The 25,924-nt window shown below is 37.4% G+C and overlaps 1 protein-coding gene and 1 long non-coding RNA gene across 2 annotated transcripts in view; both read left to right on the top strand.

Annotated features, from left to right (window-relative positions):
* Window positions 1-25,924, top strand: part of ZFHX3 (zinc finger homeobox 3) — a 1,109,046-nt gene that overhangs the window by 226,099 nt on the left and 857,023 nt on the right. The gene's annotated exons all lie outside the window — the stretch shown is intronic.
* Window positions 17,400-20,343, top strand: LOC124903717 (uncharacterized). Its single transcript, XR_007065113.1, has 3 exons — window positions 17,400-18,587; window positions 19,102-19,175; window positions 19,266-20,343. It is a non-coding gene; the product is annotated as an uncharacterized LOC124903717 (long non-coding RNA).

The raw sequence follows: 25,924 nt of genomic DNA, 5'->3' as shown, positions 1-25,924 counted from the left end.
AAAAAAAAAAAAAAAAAAAAAAAGTTATTGAAGAAAAGTCACAAAACTGGTCATGTGGTACAGTAAAAAATCATTTGGTCCACAGTGATGCCAAATCATCTCTCTATTTATGTGGGGTTTTAAAATTTATTTGTATCTCATCTGCTTTTAAAATGAATTATCTTAGTAAAGCAGATATCCTGGAATTTGTTCATTTTCTTAGGTCACAATCCCACTGCCATATCCTTCACTTTGGTGGAGCAATCTCTGTATCACCCTGGGCAAATCACTGCCCTCTTCCTGGGTCTCAGCATCCTCTTCTTAAATGTACAATGGTCAGGCCAGGCATGGTGGCTCATGCCTGTAATCCCAACACTTTGGGAGGCCGAGGTGGGTGTATCACTTGAGGTCAGGAGTTCGAGGCCAGCCTGGCCAACATGGTGGAACCCCGTCTCTACTAAAAATACAAAAATTAGCTGGGCATGGTGGCTGGAGCCTGTAATCCCAGCTACTCGGGAGGCTGAGGCAGGATAATTACTTGGACCTGGGAGGTGGAGGTTGCAATGAGCCAGGATGGCACCAGTGCACTCCAGCCTGCGCAACAGAGCGAGACTCTGTCTCACCAAAAAAAAAAAAAAAAGTGCAATGATGATCAGAAAGATCATCTCTTCAATGGTCCCCAAGCACCTGTTATGACCACTTTCATTGCATTTGTCACACTATATTTAATTACTTACTTTTGTATTCATCCTCTACATTAGACTGTAAACTCCGTGAGAGCAGGGACAATAGTGCTCTTAATCACTCTGCACTCTTCAGCAGACAAGAGGCACTAACACAATATTTGTTAAATAAATGAATAAATACATCTGCCCTCTCTAATGGACCATGACTGTGCTGCTGACTATGTTTATCCCATTACATATTTTAAATGGAATAAAACTCCTATGGAAATGCATTAACTAAGTGTTAGCTGTGTGCAAAAAAATATTGGTATACGGAAAGGAAAAGTTATTGTCCTTTATAATTACTTTCCTCCGGGTGTATCTGAATGCTCTGTTAAAATTTCCTCTTTGGTACACCTTATACATGTCTGCCTTTTTTGGTCCTGCTGTAACCAGGTGGTAGCTCTTCCAAAGGAGTGTTTTTATAATTTGTGCTGTATCTCATCTTAATGGACATCTAAATGACACCGGGTATATTGCTGGTGATCTCTTGGTAGATGAATGAATATGGATGCTCCTTGTGATGGGAAGTCCAAAATGGCAAATACTATGGGATTTCAAATTTCAGTATATATTGGTGACTATTTGTGGATATGGATTGATTTTTTTAAATCACTTGCAATCACTGAATCAGGGACTAGCATTATAAAAAGCAAGTTTCTGAAAGAATATAAATATGTGGTTGTTACATAGAACGAATATATGTACTGCATATAGCACTATGCTGGATATGCATCCTTTAACCTTAAGCCATCTTCGATTTTTGTATTAGATATTGATGCAATTGTCAAAGCCCAGTTTCTCCATTTATGGTAGTTCTTTGTTTTTCATGGGAATTAGGTCAGCACTAAATAGTGCTAGCCCATCTCAAGATTTCCCTCTAGAAAACAAGGCTTCTAGATGTGCAGAAAAAGGTCAGCAATACTGTTTGGCAAAGTTACGTTGCCCTCCTAGGTGACAGCAGTGCCTGGTTCAGTTTGGAAAACTGACTTGCAAAAGAGTTTTCTTTTTCTCACACTTCTTTCCTTTTCTTTTTTAAAAATGACATTCCCTTCCCAGAGTAAAATTATTTTATATTCAGTTCTCTTTGAAAACAATTTGTCTATCTAGAGAAAAGTCTGAAGTTACTCTGCTGCATCTCTAAATGGGTGGTGTTCCCCAAAGTTCCTCTGAGCTCGATGGCCTGCTGAGGCTTTGAGTAGGTTGTAAATGTGTCAGTGCATGAGACTGAGGTGGGGGTGGTTACAGAACATAGAGGTTAATTGCTCCAATGAGAAAGAAATACCTGCCATATCCTAAAGCCAGTCCATTTCCCTCTCAGAGATAGTGGATTCTTAGCACTACCCATCTTGGTTTTGTTTTAATATCTACTATGACAGTTTTACTCTGATTTTCATGGCTTACGCTTCCCCAGATGCATTCATTCCTTAGTTAACAAACATTTATTCAGCATCTCCTTTGTCCCAGACACATTCTGGGTCTTAGGGATGCATTTATGTACAAAATGAGCCAAGGGCTTTCAAACCCGTGTTGCTTTCTGTTATCCTTGCTATCTTGGAAAGCCAGTAGGACTTCTATTTTTTATTCCCACTAGGAAATGAGAGCAAGTTTGTGGCTTTCCTTTGGATCATACAGGAAGTTGTTGGCAAAATTGGAACTGGAAACTAGATCTTTGTGCTCCACATGAACTGTGCCATTCATTGTACCAGGCAAGACCTGCAGGGTGGGGAGTGGAGGTGGTCAAGGTGCCCTTGGATGAATGCCTGTTGCATTTGTCTTTAGATCGTGACCTGCTAAAGGGCTACCTGACAGCTTGGCTTTGAGAAATGACCTGCCATTTCCAAACAGCATCAAGGAGAGTCAATTAGACAAAAAGATGGGAAGCAAGCTACTGAATTTCAGATGTTCTTGTTGTGTCTTTGGAAAGGAAAAATAGTCAAGGAGAAGGTATGAAATGCAAACAGTTTTCTCAAACTCATGTCTGTCAAGACGCTACAAATCAGAATGGCTTTCACTCCTCCCCCACTCAACCCAACCTCTTTTCTTTTTTATTTTATTTTATTTTTTTGGAAGGGAAGAGATGACCCTGCTGAGTTTTGGAGTATGCCTATAGCAGCTTTTAGCAAATCACGATCCCAGCAGTAGGTTCAGCTTTGAAGAAAGATTTACAAATCTCTCACTGCTTTATAAATATCTGCATTTATATCTTAAAGAAGAAGAAAAAAAAGCCCCTCACGGTTGGCCTCTGCCTCCTCACCCCTTCTCCCCCGCCCACTTCCCCTTTGCTTGCCTTCTTCTTTTAGAAATTAAAGATTGTGATGTGTGCAGGAAATGAGGGTCTATAAAATTGTGATAAAATGTTCTTGCAAAATTGCCTTTGAATTTTCGCCTTGAATTGCAGGCGAAATGAAATTGTTCGCTTTCAGCATTGCTTTGTTTTTGACCCCTTTTTGTGAATTCTCAAAGGAAAGAAACATATTCCCATCTTTTATAGTAATCAAATTTATCTGGCATCTCTCAGCCTCTTGAATTACTTATGCTAGAGTTTGCCAGCCTCAGGAAGGCTGTGGCTGGTTTATTTATTTATTGTTCTAAAGTGAGGGCTTTTGACATAAGGTTCCCACATCATCCTAGGGGGGTATGGAAGAAAAATCGAAAGTGTTTTCTGACATCCCATATGTATGTTATGTATATACGTGCATGTGTCTCGTCAAGGTAAGAGATATCCATCTAATGAGAAATAAGGGAGAAACGCTGTGACCGTGGGTCATGGATATTTAATATTTCTGCGTGAGAGAGAAAAAAAGAATCTCATGTCACAGATGTAAAATTCTGTGTATGAAGCCAAAAAAATCTGGGAAAAGGCTTTACACTTGCGCAAAAGTGCTAATAATTGGTTATAATGCTATTTAGTAACTAGTTGATTTAACAACTATTTCTGTAACAGGTGATTATATCACCTTGTAATATCAGGGTTTTAACATAACTCTCTTTCACATAATAATGCATGATCAGAGAGTGCAGCTCAGCTGTCACCTGCCACAGCATTTTATCAAGTACAGCCTGGCTTGGCAACCCTGAGTTCTTGTGTAACATGATTCTTTCTTAAAAAAAAAAAAAATTGGTCCGTTGTGTCTATCCTTAAAAAAAAAAACAAAAAAAAAAGAATGACCTACGTTATAGGTGCAAACCTGAAAAAATCAGATTTGAGTTTCTAAATGAAATCTTTCTTATGTTGAGAAAACAGAATAATATACAATCATCTGGGAGAATACATAAATAGTACTTTTTATTGTCTGTGACCTTAAACTCCATCTGGCTCAAGTTAAATTTTAGATAAGAGAAATTATTGTTTGAAACCATTACTAATACCTCACACATCCTTTTTTTTTTTTTTTTTTTTTCTGAGATGGAGTCTTGCTTTGTTGTCCAGGCTGGAGTGCAGAGGCAGGATCTCAACTCACTGCAACCTTCACCTCCCGGGTTCAAGTGATTCTCCTGCCTCAGCCTCACAAGTAGCTGGGATTACAAGCATGCACCACCACGCCTGACTAATTTTTTGTATTTTTTGTAGAGACAGGGTTTTGCCATGTTGGGCAGGATGGTCTCAAACTTCCAACCTCAACTGATCTGCCTGCCTCTGCCTCCCAAAGTGCTGGGATTATAGGCGTGAGCCAGCACACCCGGCCATACATCCTTTATTAAAAATCTGTGCTTGGAAAAGTATATGATGTATCCAACTGTTGAACTCCTTTCATGCTTATATGTTCCAAATTACAGTGAGTTAACTCTGCAAAGCTCTAAGCAGGTACTGTATTTTCTTTCTGTTTTTTGTTTGTTTTTTACAATTGAGGCAAAATGTGTTTACATCATAACCTACTCTTCATACTGATTTTTCAAAGGCTTCTTTGCTTCTGGTTTATTATTTATAAGTTTCTGAAATAGGAACTCACACAAGAAACCGGACCCTTTATTTCCTTTATTTTCAGATATTCTTATTTAAGTCAGTAAAATGTCCATAGAAGTTTAAGAAAATGTTAAATGAAGATCCTTAGGAACAGCTGTGTTATGTGCAGTTTAAGCATCTCTCATACAGTCTTCACTTTTGTGACACTGTGAGGATTTTAGAATCATTGGAGTAGATATGGGTATGCAATTCACCCTCTAACTGGTCAGTAGATACGTGTAGATCAGCATATTAGTAGAACAGATAGATCCTAGGATTAAAGCAAAAGGTCAGCAAGTTCTATGCAAGTGGGAAGGTTTGCATGAAGTTAACTAACAAAATTAGGTTTAGTTTAGAGATGTTTATTTTAACAATCATTATCTATGACTTAATTTCTGATTAACTTATGCAATAAAGGAATTAACTAACCCACCTGTCACATTTTGTTTTTGATGAAAAAGAGAAGAAAATGGGTTTTCAAGAAGATTTAAATGCAAAAGCACGTTTTCATTGTGTTTCTCGTGGGGCTACAGATTTCAAGAGGATGTAGTATCCCTTATGAGCCATATACAACAGATCAGCAACTTGCATTTCAGTTTCTCCTTTTTCCCTTTTAAAAAAATCTTTAATGTTTATATAAATGGTTTAATCCACAGAAATGCAGATTAACATGATTCTTAATTGTGGCAGAGAAGGAGCAGGAAGGATTGATATTTATTAGAAATAATTTTAAAAACCATTTTCTTCTGTGCCCTCAGAGAAGGCAGCACAAATATTTTTCTGGTTCATACACAGTAATTTAAATGTGTCCAGTTTTGCAGTTGTGTCTACAAATCAATTTAGTGTGGGTTTGTTCACATCTAAAGGAAAGTTAAATGCTGACTTTAAAAGTAGAGAAGCGTTCCATAGAAATCCTTTGCTTTTAAAAGGCACACGTTTGACTGTGATCCTTAAAAGCTTTTTATTGAACTATTTTCTTTTTCTGTTTGCAAAATTCACAAAGGGCTGTTCTGTAAGCCCTCCTTGTATTTTCCCTAGTTCGTCCTAAATTTTGCCTCGGGTGAATAAACAGCAACAGTGTTCAATTTCCCGTTCTGAATGTATATGCCAACGCAGAGGGCTTTTATTACAAGGAAAGAAATCAAATCATTGTCACCTAAAGTGCTAATTATGTCTGATGTATGTATGGCATACACTTAATGCAAAGAGAGCTTAGGAAATGATACACCTTCCGTAATTACAGTGACCAACCTCGCTCCATCAATCTAAAATTTTTTTTCAATCCATGTTCATTTGGGTGGCTCTATTTTTATTAAATGGCTTTGTTAAGCTTCAACAGACCCACTTGCTGCTAATAAGGAAACTTGAACGAAGTATTTTGGAACCGCATGCAATAAGAAGGCATGTACACGATATACGCCCAGATGAGTATACACAGATAAACCACAGAGAATGCAGTTATACTCTTCTCCCATTGGGGCACAGAACTGCAAATGGAGGATAGACTTTGCCATGCTTTGCTTGCTTAATGAATTTGTGTATCCAGTTAACTAAGAATACTGTATTTCTATTTCAGGGGAGCCTGAAAGCTCTCCATACAGCTGACAACAGAGCCTGTAGCCACCTCCCCAGGGACATTAAGACATTGTGAGTGCGCATGGTGCCCTGGGAATCTCTGAGGGTAACATTTAGGAATTACTTCTCTTCGTTTTTCTTCATGAGAGAAAGCTACCGTTCTTCTCAGAGCCAAATTGTACGTGGCTTCTAATCGAACCTGACACCCTTATATAAATGAAATAAAAGTAGGTTTTAATTAGAGTGAAGGATGCTGATGTTCTTTGAAGCTACTTCAGGGTCCTTCTCTTCCCTGAGTCCTCCAGCAGACAAGGTTGTTTTTGCACGTATGTACATTTTTGGCTGCAGAGATGTTGTGTGAATCCCTGCCTGTCATAAGGGCCAATTGGCCAAATGTGATGCTCGGTTTTGTCCTGTCACCCTTCTGTGTCTTTCTTCCATTACTTACATATCCATCCAAAGTGCATACTGCGGGAACCATATATATTTCGGTAGATTTTCTCAGCAAGAATGGAATCCAACCACATCTCCTTTCTATTGTTTTTCCTTTTTTGCCATCTCTCTCCATCTCTTTCTCCTTAATTCCTATCAACTCTTAATTTTTCCGTTTCTCTTTGGTTACCTATCTTAGAATCTGGGTGGATTTGGGGGGAAAGTTAGTGCCACCTGATTATAGTAGTTCTTGGTAAATAATGCGTCCATTATTTATGTTTATTTTTAAGTCAAAATGGTAATACCAAAATTGGAAATTTTGGTTGTTATACTGCTATGCAAATAGATAAATCTCGAACAAAGATGTAGTTTTACAGAATACCTTTTAAGAAAATCTTAGTTAATAGTTTTGTGCTAAATTTTCAAATTATCCATTTGTTTTAGCCTGCTTTTAAAAATCATTTTAAATTACAGAAGACTTGGTATTATTAAAAAATGGTAACCATATTTGGAGTTACGCAGTTGGGTTCTGACTATACAAGTGGATGATATGTCATAAAATTTCTATTTCTGGCCAGGCACGGCGGCTCATGCCTGTAATCCCAGCACTTTGGGAGACCAAGGAGGGCAGATCACCTGAGATCAGGAGTTTGAGACGAGCCTAGCCAACATGGTGAAAACCTGTCTCTATCAGAAATACAAAAATTAGCTGGGTGTGGTGGCGCATGCCTATAATCCCAGCTACTCGGGAGGCTGAGGCAGAATTGCTTGAACCCAGGAAGCAGAGGTTGTGGTGAGCTGAGTTGGTGCCACTGCGCTCCAGTCTGGGTGACAGAGCGAGACCCCATTTAAAAAAAAGTTCTATTTTTAAATAAAGAAAATTAGAAGGATTTTTATTTTAGCCTGGAGAATTCTCAATAAATGAGAAACATTTTTTAAAATTTCCATGAATTTAAAAGGCTAGTATTTCCTGAAATTCATATATTCCAGTTGAACAAATTTGATTATAGTGGTCACAAGAATAAATGTAATGTTAATTGTAATGTATTATCACAGTAAAAGCTATATGTACTTCCAAGTGATGTGATAATTAGCTTTAGAAAACTAAATAGAAATTTATTTCACAGCATCTACTCTCTATTAAAATGAAGTATTATAATTTGTCTTCTGACTTACAGTCAAATATTAAAATATTAGCATTAATTCCATTCGTCAACATATACCCAAGAGAAAAGTAAGTGTTCATAGAAAAACTGGTACACAAATCTTCATAGCATCATTTTTCATAGCAGTCAAAAGGTGGAAACAGCTCAAATGTCTGTCTGCTGATGAATGGATAAACAAAATGTGGTATATCCATACAACGGAATACTATTCAGCCATAGAAAGAAATGAGGTACTGACACATGCAACATGGATGAATCTCGAAACCTTATGCAAAGGGAAAGAAGCCAGGCAAAAAAGACCACGTGTCATATGCTTTCACTTCCATTAAATGTTCAGAATAGGCAAATCTATATAGATATAAAATAAATAGTGGGTGCTTGACTAGGACTGGGGGAGAAAGGAGATGGGGGTTTGAGAGGGTGATTGCTAAAGGGTACTAGGTTTCTTATGGAGATGATAAAATGTTCTAACATTGATTGTGGTGATGGTTGCATAACTCTGAGAGTACACGAAAATCCAATGAATTGTACATTTTACTTATTTTATTTTTGAGATGGAGTCTTGCTCTGTCACCCAGGCTGGAGTGCAATGGCGCGATCTTGGCTCGCTGCAACCTCTGCCTCCCGGATTTAGGTGATTCTCCCTGCCTCAGCCTCCCAAGTAGCTGGGATTGCAGGCATGCACCACCACGCCCGGCTAATTTTTGTATTTTTAGTAGAGACAGGGTTTTGCCGTGTTGGGCAGGCTGGTCTTGAATTCCTAACCTCAGGTGAACTTCCTGCCTTGGCCTCCCAAAGTGCTGGGATTACAGGCGTGAGCCACTACACCCAGCCAAATTGTACATTTTAAATGGGTGAATTCTACCGTATATGGACTACATTTCAGTAAAGCTGCTACTAAATAATTAGGAGCCATTTTTGTATGTTTGTATACTAAATGCTAATAAGCAAAGGAAAAATATGATTACTTTTAAAAAGGAAAACTTGTTTTCTTAAAGCTATTTTGGCAAGAGTGGAATTTCTGTGTTAACACTAGCTAATATGTTATACACACTGGCATTCTATCCCAGGATTTGCATTTCTAGAAAAGAAAAATAGTTTATTATGTGACTGAAGCTTGGCAAACAATTTTCTTTGCATTGGCTGTTCTTAACATTTTGATATAAATCATGTTTGAAATTTAGAAAGAATGAGAAAAGGGTAATCAGAACTTGAGTCTATTGTTATTTTTATGTATATAGGACTAAGTCTTTCTTGTTTAAATTTGAATATAATTGAAACATTTTACTTTACAGTTTGCTTTAAAATTATAAGCTAGATAATGGTGGAAGTACTTTATTGTGTTTTACTTTAAGTGAAAAATTTAGCATACAACCAGAAAATTATGTAAAACACAGGCACACACCCCCACACACTAAGGTTATTGGATAAAGTTCCTATGTATCTCCTGCCCAGATTAAGGAATGTCATTGTTAGCTCCCAATTCCCTTTGATTTCTTCTCCCATCCCAACCCCTTGATCCTCCCTAGAGGTAACTCAGTTCAATCCTTTTGAGATGATCATTTCCTTGTGTTGCTTTAAAATTCTACAACATATGTATGCATCCCTAAACAATATAATGTAGTTTCATCAGGTTCTTAATGCAAATGAAATAATTTGGTATGTATTCTCTTGGTTACTTTTTTGGGGGGTCAACATTATGCTTGCAAGATTCATTTAAGTTAGGAGTTGACATCTGACTCTGTTAAGGGCCACCTGGTGAAAATTTTTGGCTTTGTGGACCACATGATTTCTGTGGCAGGTACTCAGTTCTGCTATCGCAGCTTGAAAGTAGCCACAGACAACATGTAAATGGATAAGCATGGTTGTGTTCCACTAAAGCTTTGTTTACAAAAACAGATCAAATTTGGGTCTATAGTTTGCCAACCCCTGATTCAAGTGACTGAGTAGCTATAGTTTGTTCATTTTCATCATTGCATAATACTCCACTCTATAATTACACCAACATTTATTTACATATTTTATTCTTGACAGACATTTGGGTTGTTTTCAGTTAGGGATTTTGCAAAAATGCTTCTATGTATACATTATTGCATAAGTATTTTGGCGCAAATGTACAATAATTTCTCTAGAGTGGATGTACCCAGGAGTAGAAATAATGGGTCTTCATGAAGAAGTCATGACATCTTCAGCATGACTATTAAATGTCAAATGGTTTTGCAAGGTGGTTTTTTTGTTTTATACTCTCACTAGAAGTGTTTTAGAATTCCTGTCACTCAGCAGCTTCCTCAATACTTGGTAATACCAGGGTTTTTAGTTTTAGCCAATTTAGTGGAAATGGTATCACTTGCATTTTTAAATTTTACATAATCATAATTGTTTGCATAACCATAATTATTAATGAGATTGTTTGTATTTTCATGTATTCAATTTTGGAATAAATTTTTTGTTAGATTTATTTTTACTCAACCCTTTTGACGTTAATGTAATCAGTATCTTTTAAATGTTATTTTCTAACTGTCTTTTGCTGATGTATAGAAATGCAATTGATTTTCATATGTCAATTTTGCATCAGGGGACTTGGTAGAGTCTCCTATTCTAATAATTACTAGATTAGTTTGGATTTTCTACATGTACAATTATGTAAGAATAATGGCAGTTTAGTTTCCTTCTTTCTAATCCTTATATTTTATTTCTTCTGCTTTGCCTTGTACTGGCTGTGACCTCTAGAACAATGCTCAGTAGAAGTGAAAATGAATATCCTTATCTTTTCCAGTCTCAAAGATGGAAATCTCAAAGATGCGAAATGAGGAAATCTCAGTATTTCATCTTTAAATGTGATGATTACGGCCGGGTGTGGTGGCTCACGCCTGTAGTTCCAGCACTTTCAGAAGGCAAGGCGGGCAGATCACTTGAGGTCAGGAATTTGAGACCAGCCTGGCCAACATGGCAAAACCCCGTCTCTACTAAAAATACAAAAATTAGCCAGGCATGGTGGCTGGCTCCTGTAATCCCAGCTACTGGGGAAGCTGAGGCAGGGGAATTACTTGAATCCAGGAGGCGGAAGTTGCAGTGAGCAGAGATCACTCCACTGCACTCCAACCTGGGCGACACAGTGAGACTCTGTCTCAAAAAAAAAAAAAAAAAAAAAAAAGTGATTACTATCGTTTAGAAGAGAGATAACCTATTGTTTTTTTAAAAAATTATTTTAATTTCTAGTTTGCTAAGCTATCTCTTTTTTTAGTAAAAATGAGTTTACACATTTATCAATTTTTTGCCTCTTATTGAAATAATTATGTTTTCTCCTTTAATCTATCAATGTAAAATACATTATTTACTCATGTTTAATTTACCTTGCATACAACAATAATTTGGTTTACAACCAAATTATTCATGCTGTATTACCTTTTTAAATTGCTGGAATTGTTTAAGTAATAAATTTTTTAGGAATTTCATATCTATGTTCATGAATGACATTGACCTATAATTTTTCTTGTGTGTATGTCATCATTAGGGGTTGGTATCAAGGTAAAGTTGCCCTCATAAAAAGAACTGAAGAAGAGCTCCTTTGTTTTTCTATTTTGGGGGTTAATTTTTATAGGATTGTTTTGTTCTTGAATGTATAATAGAACTCACTGGTGAAGCTATCTGAACCTGAACTTCTATTTGTCGGAAAATTTTTGAGTATCATTTCAATTTTTCTCAATAGTTATTAGACTACTAAAGTATCTAGCCAATTTTGTTAAATGTCGTACTTAAATACTTAAATGTGTTGAGAGGAAGTTTTTTGTAACATTCTCTTTTTATCTTTTTTTTTTTTTTTTTGAGACTGAGTCTCGCTCTGTCACCCAGGCTGGAGTGCAGTGGCACGATCTCGGCTCACTGCAGGCTCCGCCTCCCAGGTTCATGCCATTCTCCTGCCTCAGCCTCCTGAGTAGCTGGGACTACAGGCGCCCGCCACCACGCCCGGCTAATTTTTTGTATTTTTAGTAGAGACGGGGTTTCACCATGTTGGCCAGGATGGTCTTGATCTCCTGACCTCGTGATCCACCCGCCTCGGCCTCTCAAAGTGCTGGGATTACAGGCGTGAGCCACCGTGCCCGGCCCTCTTTTTATCTTTTTAATGATGGCACCATCTGCAGTCATATTCTGTTTCATTCTTCATATTTCTTTCTTCAATGCCTTTTACCTTTTCTTTATTCTTTATCACTAAATGTTTTACAATTTTACTCCTTTCAAGGAACCACCTTTAGTTTTTCAACACATTCTGTTTTATTAAATCTAGTTTATATACTATTTTACTTTCACTCCCTTTTGTTTGTTTTGGGTGGGTTTTTTTTCTATTTTTACACAATTTAGAAATGGGAAAGTAGTCATTGCCCTTCATAACTTTTCCGAATTTTCACTAATAAATTTGTATTGCTTTAGTTATATCTCACAAGTTTTTATATGTAGTGTATTTCATTACCATGCATTTTTAGATGTGCAATTTCCATTAGATTCCTTTGTTGAGCCATAGTTATTTAGAACAATATTTCTCTAATTTCCAAACTGATGGGAGATTTTCTAGTTTTATTTTTGTTTAATGATTTCTGTTTAATTGAGGTCTGATCAGAGAAAATGCTCTGTATAATTTCAGTTCTTAGAAGTTGTTTAAAACTTGCTTTATGGATCATCATATGGTGAATTTTTGTAAGTGTTCTGTGTGTACTTGGGGAAGAAATCTGTTGTGTAGTTGCTGAGTATAATGTTCCACACAGGTTATTAGGTCAAGTTTGTTAATCATGTTATTTAAATCTTCTTTATTCTCATTGACTTTTTTCTGTCCATCCAATAATTAGCAAGACAAGTGTAGATTAAATCTTTATTACAATAAAGTAACATTCTTTGTCAATACTTTTTGTTTTAAAATCTATACTTTTGCTAATATAGCTACACCACTTTTCTTCTGGTTGATATGTTCACGTTCTTTCTTTTTCTATCTTCTTAGTATCAATATTTTGTATCTTTATTTTGTAGATATGTCTTTTATAAACATCATTATGAATTGATTTTGTTTTTATTCAGTCTGCCATTTATTTTTTAATTGGAGAATTGGGGCTGTTGGTTCATTTACTTTTGTGTTTAATGCAATCAGTGTTAAATTTGCCATTGTATTTTGTATTCTCTAATTATTTTTCATCATTCTATTTTTTGTATTCATATGGAAATAATACACTTTATTTTCATTCTTTTATTTATTTTTCCTAGAAATTGCAGGAGGTATACTTATCAAAATCTAAAGCTAATCAATACCTTTACAGTTTCTCCAGACACTTTCTCCAGCTAATCAATACCTTTAACACGTTAACTTCATTTACTCCCTTTCAAACATACATAATTTTGTCATACATGTGTCTAAATTCTTTCCAAGAATTGTCACTAATTTCGTGTCAATGTTCATTTGAATGAGTCCACATATTTAGCTCTTTCTTTTATCTTCTTCTTGTATCTGAGAACTTCCTCTTGGGATTCCTTCTGCCTTCTCAAAAAATTTTATTTTCTTTAGTGAGAATATTCCAGTGGCAAATCTTCAGTTTTTATTTGTTTAAAAGAAGTCTTTATTTCCTCTATTACTGTTTGTAATAAGGACTCTAACTTCATTTTTTGGTGTTTAACTGCTGACTGCTTTTAAGCCTCATCTTATTTTTCTTTCCCTATGATCCACAACTGGGCAAGCTTATAAAAAAGCCAAAGTGTTCTCTCCTTGGTACGAGTGGTAGCACATAAGCTCCTGCCCACATGTGGGAGCCCTCACTTTGGGTCCACCTCCTTACCACTATAAAAGCCCCATGCCAATCTCCTTTCCTTGCCCTCTAAGCTCTTCCCAGAAAAGACTCAATTACATAAGTAATACATCTTTTCACATCTTCTTGGTGTGTGTATGACATCATCATTCTCAACATCCAAACCAGATTTTTGGTGAGGGTCTATCCTGTCCCTGTGTAGAGGGTTTAAAACACTCTTAAAAGATGTTTTCTCTGGATATGGAATTCTAATTTTTTAAGTATTTTATTTTACCATAATGAAGATTAATTCTACTGTCTTTTGACTTCCATTGTGGCTATCAAGATGTCAGATGTCCAGTCAATTTGTCTCTTTTTTTTTTTTTTTTGAGACAGAGTCTTGCTCTGTCACCCAGGCTGGAGTGCAGTGGCGTGATCTGCGCTCACTGCTCGCTCTGCCTTCCGGGTTCATGCCATTCTCCTGAGTCAGCCTCCCGAGTAGCTGGGACTACAGGAGCCTGCCACCACGCCCGGCTTTTTTTTTTTTTTTTTTTTTTTTTTTTGTATTTTTAGTAGAGATGGGGTTTCACCATGTTAGCCAGGATGGTCTCGATCCCCTGACCTCGTGATCTGCCCACCTCGGCCTCCCAAAGTAGTGGATTACAGGCGTGAGCCACCGTGCCCGGCCTTGTCTTTTTATTATATTATTACTGTTCTTAAGATTGTATATATTGTCTTTAGTATTCTGTAGTTTCATTGTGATGTTTCCAAGTGTGTGTTGCTTTCTTCCTTTTTTATTTAATACTGCTTTGGATCTTAACAGCTTCTCAAACTGAACCTGTGGACAGTTGTTTCTTATTACTTTCTAGAAAACACTCATTTTCTCTTTAAATAATTCTTGCCAATTCTCTCTATCCTCTTTTTAGAACTCCCATAAAATAGATTAGGCCTTCTTACTATATCATCCCCTGAGTCTTAACTTCTTCATTTCCCTGCTTTTTTTTTTTCTCCTCGTATTCTGGATAATTTCATCTGACTAATACTCCCATTTGCCTGCTTTCTCTTTGGCTGTTTCTAATCTGCTGTTATATGGATTTATTGTGTTTTTTATTTCAATTTCTATATTTTTTGTTTCTAGAAGTTCTCTTTTGTACTTTATCAAATCTGTTAGAACATATTTTTATAGTGTCCTGCATATATTTTAAAGCTTAATTTTTATTCTTATTTTGTTTATTACACCTTGATAATCGTAAGTGTCTTATAAACTGTGCCTTATAATTTATGTGTATAGGTCTGTTTTGGTCATTTGTCTTTTTCTATTTTTCTTCCTGACATAGTTGTTCTTTTGCATTTTTCCCTAACATACTTGCATTTCTTTTTATTCTGAGCTATTTAATGTCCTTGAAAATCACTATCTGTGGGTTTTGAGACCTAGGATAAAGGTACTCCCTCCATACAGGAGTTAAATCTGCTTAGCCAGGCACCTAAGAGAAGTACCTTCAAGACCACCCTAAATTGAATTTGTCACCTTAATTTTTGTTGTTATTGTTGTTTCGTTTTTGATTACTTAGCTAATGTGATTACTTAGCTTTAAAAAATGTCGAAGGGCAAAATTATCCATCCAAAGGGTGGAAGTGATTTTGGAGGAAAATAGCTGATTGGTAAAAATAAATTAGAATATTTCTAATCAAGGAATTATTATTCTGCAAATCTAAGTGAGGATAGCTTTTTGATGTCATTTTTTTCTCTCTGCTCTATTCAGTGCTCAGACAACTTTAAGTCAGTCCCCTGAGAGTGAAGGAGGGCTGGGGGTAGCACTTACTCTTATTCTGAGGGTGTTAAGTCTTTGAGATCCCATTTAATTTAGAGAAGTTTGCTTTTTTGTTTTTGTTTTTTTTTTTTGGAAAATGCGCTTAGGGCAAAAAAAGCTTTAGTACTCTGCTTCCATCTTTGGGCTTCTTCTGCTTTCTCTGATATTTTGAGCTAATTTTTTTGCTATGTTTTCAGATCTTTGATAATCTTAAATAGCTACTTAAAGGTTCTTATTTGAACCATGATTCAGGTTATGAATAACAAGTCCTGCTATTCCACTTTGGGAGAAAATTCAGAGTTATGGACAGAAGGTATATGATCAGAGCCTGCCATTTTAAGTTCTTGACTCCAACTTTTTGGGAACCATGGTCTTCACAAGACATGGTTACCATTATTTTTCTCATTTTAAAAATGAGTAAACTGACGCACAGATAAATAAGTTGTTTATCCTTATACAACTATTTTTCTTCAAGTGCTAGAGCCGTGACTCACATCCAGATCTATCTGAACCACACCAGTGCTTCGATCAAATGCAGATTTCCTCTTGCCAGGGTCAGAATTACTCTAGCTACCCTTTTGATTCTACCTCCCTCCTTTGGCCTTTGGACTCTTATGAATTATTGCTATGTTGAGTACCATTAGGCATGAGATATTCCTGAGGCTTGCCCAGCTATCTGCCTCTGACTTCAGAAATTTCAGAACTCATTATTAGATAAGCTTATTTATTTTCCAAAGATGTTATAAAGAATCTAACTGGCTAGGAAGCACGGTGCACTGGATTTGCTGACCCAAACTCTCTGTAAGTCTATAGGTAGAACAAAAACGAGTTTATTAAAATTTTTTAAAATATAAAACTCATACATATTCATTATAGAAAATCAGGATATATAAATAAGCAAAACCAAGAGACCAGAGAATACCTATAATCTTACCCAAAGACAATCACTTGAAAATCCTTCCAAACTCTTTATGCATATACACACTCTGTATTTACATTTATGTTCTGAAAGGGAATCATGCCATACCTGCTGTTTTATAGCTAGGTTTTGGCTGCACTGTATCACATGCCTTAATGATGATTACATGTTGAGTAGAGAACAATAGAGATTGAGACCAAAGCCAGAAACCAACAGGAAGCCAAGCCAGAAGTCTTTTCTAAGACATTGCAAGCTTTACTTTGGGAAAAATGAGTATAATGTGACTTATTTTCCTCACTATTTTCTAATATTATGCAGTAACTCATTACTTGCCTATGGAACATCATTGTAAAGAAAAAACACTTGTTCTCTCTGAAGCAGAGATAGTTATGATGGTTAACATAGAAAGTATTATCCCATGTGGTTAAGGCTATTGTGATATTTTGTTCCTGTTGATCTCTTTCTTCTGAGTAGTTATTTCAAAGCATGTAATATTGAAAATGATAACCGTAATCTCCAAATGTAAAGATATGTGCATCTAGAGGACTTTTTAACATAGCACTTAAAAGCCCTAGAAAATTAGTCTTTATTTCCATTAAACATTTGAAAATCAACCCATGTTGAAGGGCAAAGTTATCCATCCCAAGGGTGGAAGTGATTTTGAAGGAAAAGAGCTGATTGGTGCAGAGAAATTAAGATATTTTTAATCAAGAGATTATAAACAACTGTGGAAACCTTAGACTATCAATTGTCCATCAATGGGGCAAAGCAAATTATAATATTATTTTAAAATTAGCGAACTGGGGTGAGCACGGTGGCTCACACTTATAATCCCAGCACTTTGGGAGGCCAAGGCGGGTGTATCACCTGAGGTCAGGGGTTTGAGACCAGCCTGGCCAACGTGGTGAAATCCAGTCTCTACTAAAAAAACAAAACAAAACAAACAAACAAACAAAAATTAGCTGCGCATGGTTGTGCACGTCTGTAATCCCAGGTACTCAGGAGGCTGAAGCAGGAGAATCACTTGAACCCAGGAGGCCGAGGTTGCAGTGAGCCGAGACTGGGCCATTGCAACTCCAGCCTGGGTGACAAGAGTGAAACTCTATCTCAGAAAAAAAATAAAAATTAAAAACTACAATTAGCAAACTGTTCTATGTTTTTTAAAGCTCAGCTTTTTCTAGTCCTATAAACCCAATTGATAATAATGTGGACTTTGACAAATCATTTAATCTCTCTGAGTCTGTTTCATTACCTGAAAAATGAGTAATTTAGATTATTTCTAGTTATTCGTTATAATTAAAATAATGCATCAGTCGGCATCCATATAGATATATCCTGCACATTTGCTCAAGTGTTTCTGTAGTATAGATTCCTAGCAGGGGAAATAAGTGTATCATAGGGTGTGTGTATTTTAAATTTCGGTAAATAATTGCCAAATGATCCTCCAGAATGTAGCCCCAATTTACATTCTCATCAACAGTGCATGAAAGACCACACTTTTTGACGTTTAATATTATTAACATTTTTCTAAGCAGATCAGTTAAAATTTTTTTTTGTTTATGCATCAGTTGTATTGAGCGTATGTTTTATATGCTTATGGTTTGTTTGTATTTATTTTCTATAAACTGATTTTGCATATTTTGACCCATTTTTTCATTTGGGTTTTTCTTACTGATTTATAATTGACATTTAGGTATGTGTATAATAGATACATTTTGTTTATTTGGGAACATGCATCAGTAGGCATAGAATTTTCTTCCTTCTTTTTTGTTTTTTTTTCTCTTCTGCTTTTCTTGACTCTAAACTGGAAAATCTTTAATCTCTTTCTAAACTATGATACAGTTTTCATAACTTTAATGTATAGTCTATTTCCACACTGCTATAAAGAACTACCTGAGACTGGGTAATTTATGAAGGAAACAAGTTTAATTGACTCACAGTTCCACAGGCTTAACAGGAAGCATGACTGGGAGGCCTCAGGAAACTTAACAATCATGGCGGAAGGTGAAAGATGTCTTAAGATGGCAGTAGGAGAGAGGGAGTGAAGCGGTAAGTGCCGCATACTTTTAAACCATCAGATCTGACGAGAACTCACTATCACGAGAACAGCAAAGGAGAATCTGCCCCCGTGATCCAGCCACCTCTCACCACACCCCTGCTCCAATCTGCCATGAGATTTGGGTGGAGACACAAATGCAAACTATATCACTTAGAATTATTTATCCTTTAAAAGTTGGTACAACCGGAGGCTGAGGCCGGCAGATCACAAGGTCAGGAGATTGAGACCATCCTGGCTAACACGGTGAAACCCCGTCTCTACTAAAAATACAAAAAATTAGCTGCCTGTGGTGGCAGGCGCCTGTAGTCCCAGCTGCTCCAGAGGCTGAGGCAGGAGAATGGCGTAAACCTGGGAGTCGGACCGTGCAGTGCGCCGAGATCGCGCCACACACTCCAACCTGGCAACAGAGTTCCGTCTCAAAAAAAAAAAAAGAAAAAAAAAAGGTTGGCACAACGAGTACTGCCATTTGTCCTAATTCGCCTGAAACATCTCCTGTTTCTCAGATTCTCCCTGCGTAATTACGTTCTTTCACTCTCCAAAGGGTTCCAGTTTGGAGGATAAATTATACAATCCCTCTGAGACGAGCTCACTTATAAAACTGGCTGAGTTTGAGGCATTTGGCAGTCTAGATCTTTTACAACTTTTTCAATTTCCCATATGATTATTGTCTATTGAAATTTTTTGTTTATTTTTGAGCCAACTTAAAAATGTATTTATTTTCTTAGACAATCTTTCATTTCACGGAGGTTTCGAAGTTTGTCAGTATACAATTGCACAAGCTACTTCTTTCAAGTACCTTGTAAGTAACATCTCATTTTGGCTCCTGCATATGAACAGATAAGTGCCTTTTCTATTTCCTAATATTAATTGTCTTTCCTTTCTTTTTTAGGAGACATTTATGTATCTTACAGATCTTTTCATCTATTTTATCAAATTTAGTGTATTTTTATTTTCATCAATCTGCTTTCTCTGGAGTTATCATTATTGTTTTCTCTTCTCTTTCTATCTTTTTAAATTGAATGTTCAGTTAATTTGTCATTCTTTCTTATTTTCTATGAAATACAATATAAATAATAAATTTTGATCTGTGTATCATTTTGGTCATATATCTTAGATTATGAGGTGGGTACCCTCATTGTCTCATCTCTAAGTAGTTTTGATTTTGCAACTGTCTTTACATATCAGTAAATGTGTATCAATCTATCATAGCATTCCATTGTAAAGACACATCCTACTTTCTTTAATCTATCACCTCATGTTGGAAGTTGTTACTGTTCCCAATTTCATTACTGTTATGAATAATGTTATAATGAATATATTTGTTCACCAGTTCACTTATTTCTTTAGAATAAAATCTGAGAAAATTTTGATCAATGTATATGGTCACATTTTTAGTCTTTTGAAACACATTTCAAAATTTCCCATCCAAAAGGCTATATCGATTTTCAGACTGTCATCAGCAAAGCATGAGAATTCTCATTTCCTCACATCTGCAACACTAAGAATTCCTAGGGTTTGGCTTTAGGAGAATGAGCTACACAAGACTAAGATATGGTCGTCCCTGTACAGTTACCATCACCTCCAAGGCTGATAAGATTAAGAAAGAAAGAAATGAAATCATGGGACCAAAATGTTGGACCTGGAAGGACCCCAAAAGTCATGTCATTTAGCCACTTTATTTTTACAAGCCAGGAAATTAAACCAAATGGCTTTTTATGCTTTTCAAATTTTTCTACATTAAGAAATTCTCGATTAAATGTTCTCAAAGCATTATTAATAAATGCTTGTTAAACTATCCATGCTACGTATTTTTATAAAGAAGGGGAAACATGACATATGTATAATCCTCTCATCATCAACATATTTATTAAGGGCTAACTAGGTAAAAGATTTAAATGCTTAGAATAAATTTTGTCGTTAAAGATGGTCCTTTACACTTTGGGAGGCCAAGGCGGGCAGATCACGAGGTCAGGAGATGGAAACCATCCTGGCTAACATGGTGAAACCCCGTCTCTACTAAAAATACAAAAAATTAGCCGGGTGTGGCGGCGGGCGCCTGTAGTCCCAGCTACTCGGGAGGCTGAGGCAGGAGAATGGCATGAACCCGGGTGGTGGAGCTTGCAGTGAGCCGAGATCATGCCACTTGCACTCCAGCCTGGGTGACAGAGCGAGACTCCGTCTCAATAAAAATAAAAAATAATAATGATTTAAAAAGATGGTCCTTTAAATGCTACATTTGGAATCCCCAAGAAAAATTTTAAAAAATTTATTGTTAGAAAATTAACCAGGATTTTTAGCAGTGAAAGCCTTTCTGTTCACCAGCTTTCCCTGGTAATATCTGGTTGCTTGACTAAAATCCATCACTGTAAGTCCCATGAGATGCTCTGGCAAATTTAACATGGACCCCATTCCTCTCTCCTGCCTCCCCTAAACTGTGTTCAGTCATGCCAGTGAATCAGGTATTCAGCACTATTTCCTCATCAATGCATTCATTTCTTCATCAGATAGGTCTTGAGAATCTTCGTGTCAGCCTCTGCTGTGGCTTCTATGAAGAACAACATTAAATATGTTGTGGCTTTGAGGGGGAAGTCACACACAGGGGCTCACTTCTTCCAATGACATGAGAAGTTGTGTGAGGTGCCGCAGAACACACAGAAAAGGGAGCCTCTACCTATTTGGAGGAGTTGAGGGTGCTTTGTAGAGGGTAATGCGTGCAGTCCTGGAGATGTGCAGGGATGTGTCTTATACTGGAAACTGCTGAGGTTTTTTTGTTTAGTTTTGTTTTATTTTGTTTTGAGAAAGAGTCTCGCTCTGTCGCCCAGGGTGGAGTGCAGTGGCACAATCTCGGCTCACTGCATCCTCCATCTCCTGGGTTCAAGCAATTTTCCTACCTCAGCCTCTGGGGTAGCTGGGATTACAGGCACCCGCCACCAGGCCCAGCTAATTTTTGCCCTTTTAGTAGAGATGGGATTTCACCGTGTTGACCATGGCTGGTCTCGAACTCCTGACCTCAGGTAATCTGCCCCCCTCTGCCTCCCAAAGTGCTGGGATTACAGGCATGAGCCACCGTGCCCAGCTGGAAACTGCTGCTTTCAACCGGTGGGTGGTTAGAGAATGGAAAGGAAATGCAGTCTGGGGATGTCTTAAGTTTACAGTAGCTGGGAGATAACCAAAGGGAGATGTGCAGGGAACTATGCCCTGGAGCTTCAGAGCAAGGAAAGGAGGACTCGGAAGTCATCAACATGTGTTTGCATTTTAATGCCTTAACCAAGAGAGAATGGGTATAAACCGGAGAGAAAGGGATTAAATCAGAATTCCAGAACCACCTAGGTCAAAGACCAAGCAGAAAAAGAGAAATAGACATGTTGTTTGTGGTGGGTGGATGGGGTGTGTGGTCCATCCTGCAGAAAGATGAATGAACCTTAAGTCTAAAAACAGGCCATTGGATGTGGCAATTAAGAGGTTGTTATTTTCAATGTGATGATAAGGACAAAAGCTGATAGCAATACTGTTTTGAGTAGAAGACTTAGAAGGAGATGGTGTGGATTATCCTTTCAAGAAATATGCAAGCAAGGAGAGAAGGGTGGAATGGGGTATGACTCAAGAGGGAGATAGAACTGAAAAAGGGCTTTTGTTTTTGGGAGAATTTAAGCTCATTACCAGTCAAAGGACTACAGAGAAAAGAGGTGCTGAAGAGATACGGTGGGGAGAAAAGACTTGGCAGAGTGAGCATTCTGTTAACAAATGTAAGAAACACTCCCTCAACTTTAGCCTGGACTTGATGTCAATGGAAACACTGGAATTGCTCGGAAGGAACACACTAGGATGACTTTTCAGGTTGAGTTTTGAAGCAGTCTTCAGCAGAGAGAAAAAGGTAACTTCACCTTCATGGAACATGAGTTTAAAGCATAGTTCAAGATGTCATTGACTGCAAATGTATATAGCATTTTTTAAAAGGTGTGCTGTGCCTAATATCGTAGCCACATCAGTAGGTAAAATAATTTTGTGCATCAGATTCTGGTTCATTTATTAAATTGGTGGTTGTCTTTGGATACTGGTTATAAAATCTCCTGGCATACATTTTATGATAATTGAGCTGAGGGAAATCATCACCCTTAAAAATATCTCCAGAAAAGGGTTCATTCATATTTGTAATCCTGAAGGGCTGATCTCATTTGCAATTTTATTTTAACCAATAGCCATTCCCAAAAAAATTCTGTGAGGAATTAAATCTCTTGATGATTTCTTCACTTACTGATAAAGACTTTTAGTGTGTGCTACAGTGCAAATGACTTCAAACTGTTTTGCCTAAAATATTGTTTTAGTTCTTTTGCACAAGGTGCTGACGGAGCCTCCAGATAGCAAAATCTCTTATGCTTAGCACTCCTTTTATGTGACCCTAAGAGTTAAACTGCTACACTGGGGGATTTTTCTTTAAAATTAATTTAACTGAAAATCTCTTCAAATTCTATTGTTGGCTTTGGTGCAGGGCATGAAATAATTTTCCATCGTACCCCACCATTCCTCGAAGGTCAGACTTCGAATTGGGCTGTTACTGTCTTGCCGCTGAGTTTCCAAGCTACGTTCATTTTGGGTCTGCCGTTGATGGATGGAGCAGTTTGAATTTTGACATGTAGCAGGCTGACTTGAATAACCTTTAGAGGCAGATGTCAGCCTGTTATTTCATGCCCGTTTGTCAGGAAGGAAAAACAGCGTCTGTTCAGGCTGTACTGTTCTAGGGTACCTATGTGGAAGGGTGCACATATGTACTACGCTTAATATAGGTTGTGGGGGCAGGAGGTATGTGGTATTTATATAATGTATTAACACATAAAGGAACACACCAGTGGTGTGTGTGTTGCATTTTTATATGCCGTTTTATATTTTGGTATATGTAAATATTTCAAGTGGCTGTAAACAGAGCTGTTTATCTTTGAATATATGCGTGATCAAATTGCTTTATGTATTGAGGAATGTATCCATTGATTGTGGACTCATGCATCCTCCCATGATTATATACCTTCCCCATGGAGGTCACTGAGCATGTCAATATGACAGAAGTAAAAAGAGAGCGTGGATCCTAGACAACAAGAGAGGCGGTCCTCTGAAGTCAGGAGCCTGAAGGTGGGAAGGGAGGAAGTGGGAAACCAGAAAGACTGCAGAGGAGAGGCTCCATCTGTATCCTCTCAAAGACTTAGAGCAGAGCTGCAGGCAAAGAATCCATCGTAGAGTAGGAATCGTCTAATGAACCATGTGCTTGAGTAAAAGAAAAAGAGTTCCACTGGGAATCAGAGCTGCTTTCACGAGAGACTGGGAATTAAGTCTGAGTTCATGAACCAATGTGACCTGATGTCCTCGAGGCCACGGACCACCTTCCCTCTTTAAGCAGCTGCCTTAAAGAGAAACAAATTTGGTGGAAGCGTCCCTCACACTGCCTGAATTCAGTATTCTCTGCAGGGAGGAGTCGGAGGAGCATGTGGACCAGCGTCTCCATCCCTGCCCAGAGCTCGCGTCACCTATCTCGTTTGCATCTGAGAATTTCACAGAGAGACCAATTTGCAGAGACTGACGTTTGCTTGTTTACTAATTTCTATTTTTGTAAAGTAATGCAGGCATATACTTTTAAAAAGCCAAGTAATACTAAAAGGCTTATGATTACCAATAGCAGTTCCCATAATCCATCTCCCACCCCAATCCTATTCCCCAAAGGAGGCTGTTTTCCATTCACTTACCCATGTCTTCTGCTATTTATGTATTTCTAAATAATGCTGCTTTTACTTATTGTGTCCATTTTATACATCTAAGGGCTTCTATTTTAGTAGGTAAGAATCAACTCTGTCCCCCCTCCCATCTTCCCTACATCAGTGTATATCTTTTTGCTGTTTATGCTGAATATAATAATGTATTCCATAAAAGTTATATTGCTTTTCTGACACATCTTTTCGCCTGCCTAATTTTCTCAGAGATTTTACCCATATGCTCCAAGACCTTCCCAGTAGAACCTTCCATCGGGTCAGATCTGTGGGACAATATGTAAGCGTGCACTTCAGGGGGCCGCATGTCTCCACTCCAGCGTGGGCAGTTACTTTCTAGGTCTGCTCCAAGACCACTTCCTCTTGTTCTCACTCCTTTGTCGTCACCTTGAAAGCCCCATTTCCTCTCTCCTGGTTTTGTTTGTTTTTCCTGAAGTTTTTTTTATTGCTTTCCCTGGATTTTATGCTTTCTTGCTTGTCTGTTTCTTCTCTCATTTTGTTAGCATACTTCACTGGTAGCTTCCTCAGAAAACACGTGTTGGGAGGTAAATGTCTTGAGAACTTAACTGTCTAAAAATATCTTTATTCCAACCCCAAACTAGGTCGATACTGTGGGTGTAGAATTGTAGCTTGAAAATTATTTTACCTCATATTGTTTAAGGTACTTCCCTGTTGTCTTTGAGCTTCCAGTGCCGCTGCTGAGAAGATCGATGCCATTCTAGTTCCGGCTGCTTTGTATGATCTGCTTTTCTCCTTCTGGAAACATCTAGAAGCCTCTCTAAGATTCCAATATTTTGTGATTTTGCAAAGCTGTGCCTTCATGTGGGTCTGTTTGCGTTCACTGAGCTGGGTACCTGGTTGGAAACTTTTAATCTGAAGTTTTTGTGTCTCTTAGTTCTGGGAAATTTTTCTGAAATAATTATCTGATAATTTGTTTACCTCGGTTTTCGTTTATTCTCTCTTTTGGAGATTTTTTATTAATTAGATGTTGAACTTGCCTGGATATATTCTCCGATTTTCTTATCTTTTCTCCTCTATTGCCTTTTCATTGTACTTTTAGGGAAACTTCTTCAATTTTATCTTCCTACCATTCAACTTGATTTTTAAACAATTCTGAGAATGTGGTATTCTAGTTTTTATTGTTCATATGTGTATAATGTTCTGTTCATGTTTTCTAGAGGCAATGTCCTCTGTTACCTTTCTAAAAATATTACTTCTACTTGAAGTTTTTCTTTTGTTCTCTGCATTGTTTGTTTTTGACTGAGTTCTTTCTTTTTTTTTGCAGTTTATTTCTGTCCCTGTGATTCAGCTTCCTCCAAATATCTTCCGTTATTTGACTTGCTGTGTTCGAGAGCAAGGCACTAAAAAGTTGATTGGGTATGTTTGTCTACTGTAGGATGAGGCAGGGAATGACTGTTTTCACTTGGAGACCACCAAGTGATAATTCTCTTTTTGGATACTGTTGAGTTTCCCTAGAGAAACCTCCTGTAATTTCTTGCCTGGGGAGCATCAATGTCCAGCTTGCAAACTTTCACTGAATGCTCCAGTTCCATTGCAGGCCCCAGGATCTCTGAATCTAGAGTCACTTCTGCTTAAATACTTCCTAAAATAAGCCTTCTGTCTTCTGAAGAAATGAAACAGGAGTTGTCTCCTGGCTTTGAGGGATGGAGGAGAGAACGTAGAGCTCCAAATGCTCTTTCCACGAACTTTTGGCCAATCCTCCAATTTTTAGCCTCTTTCAGATCCTGCAGGGAGAGTCAGTTTCCTTCTCATCCCTCTGCAGAAACTTATTTCA

Source organism: Homo sapiens, chromosome 16, assembly GCF_000001405.40.
Source record: "Homo sapiens chromosome 16, GRCh38.p14 Primary Assembly".
Lineage (NCBI taxonomy): Eukaryota > Metazoa > Chordata > Mammalia > Primates > Hominidae > Homo > Homo sapiens.
This window is presented reverse-complemented; position numbering and strand designations above follow the sequence as displayed.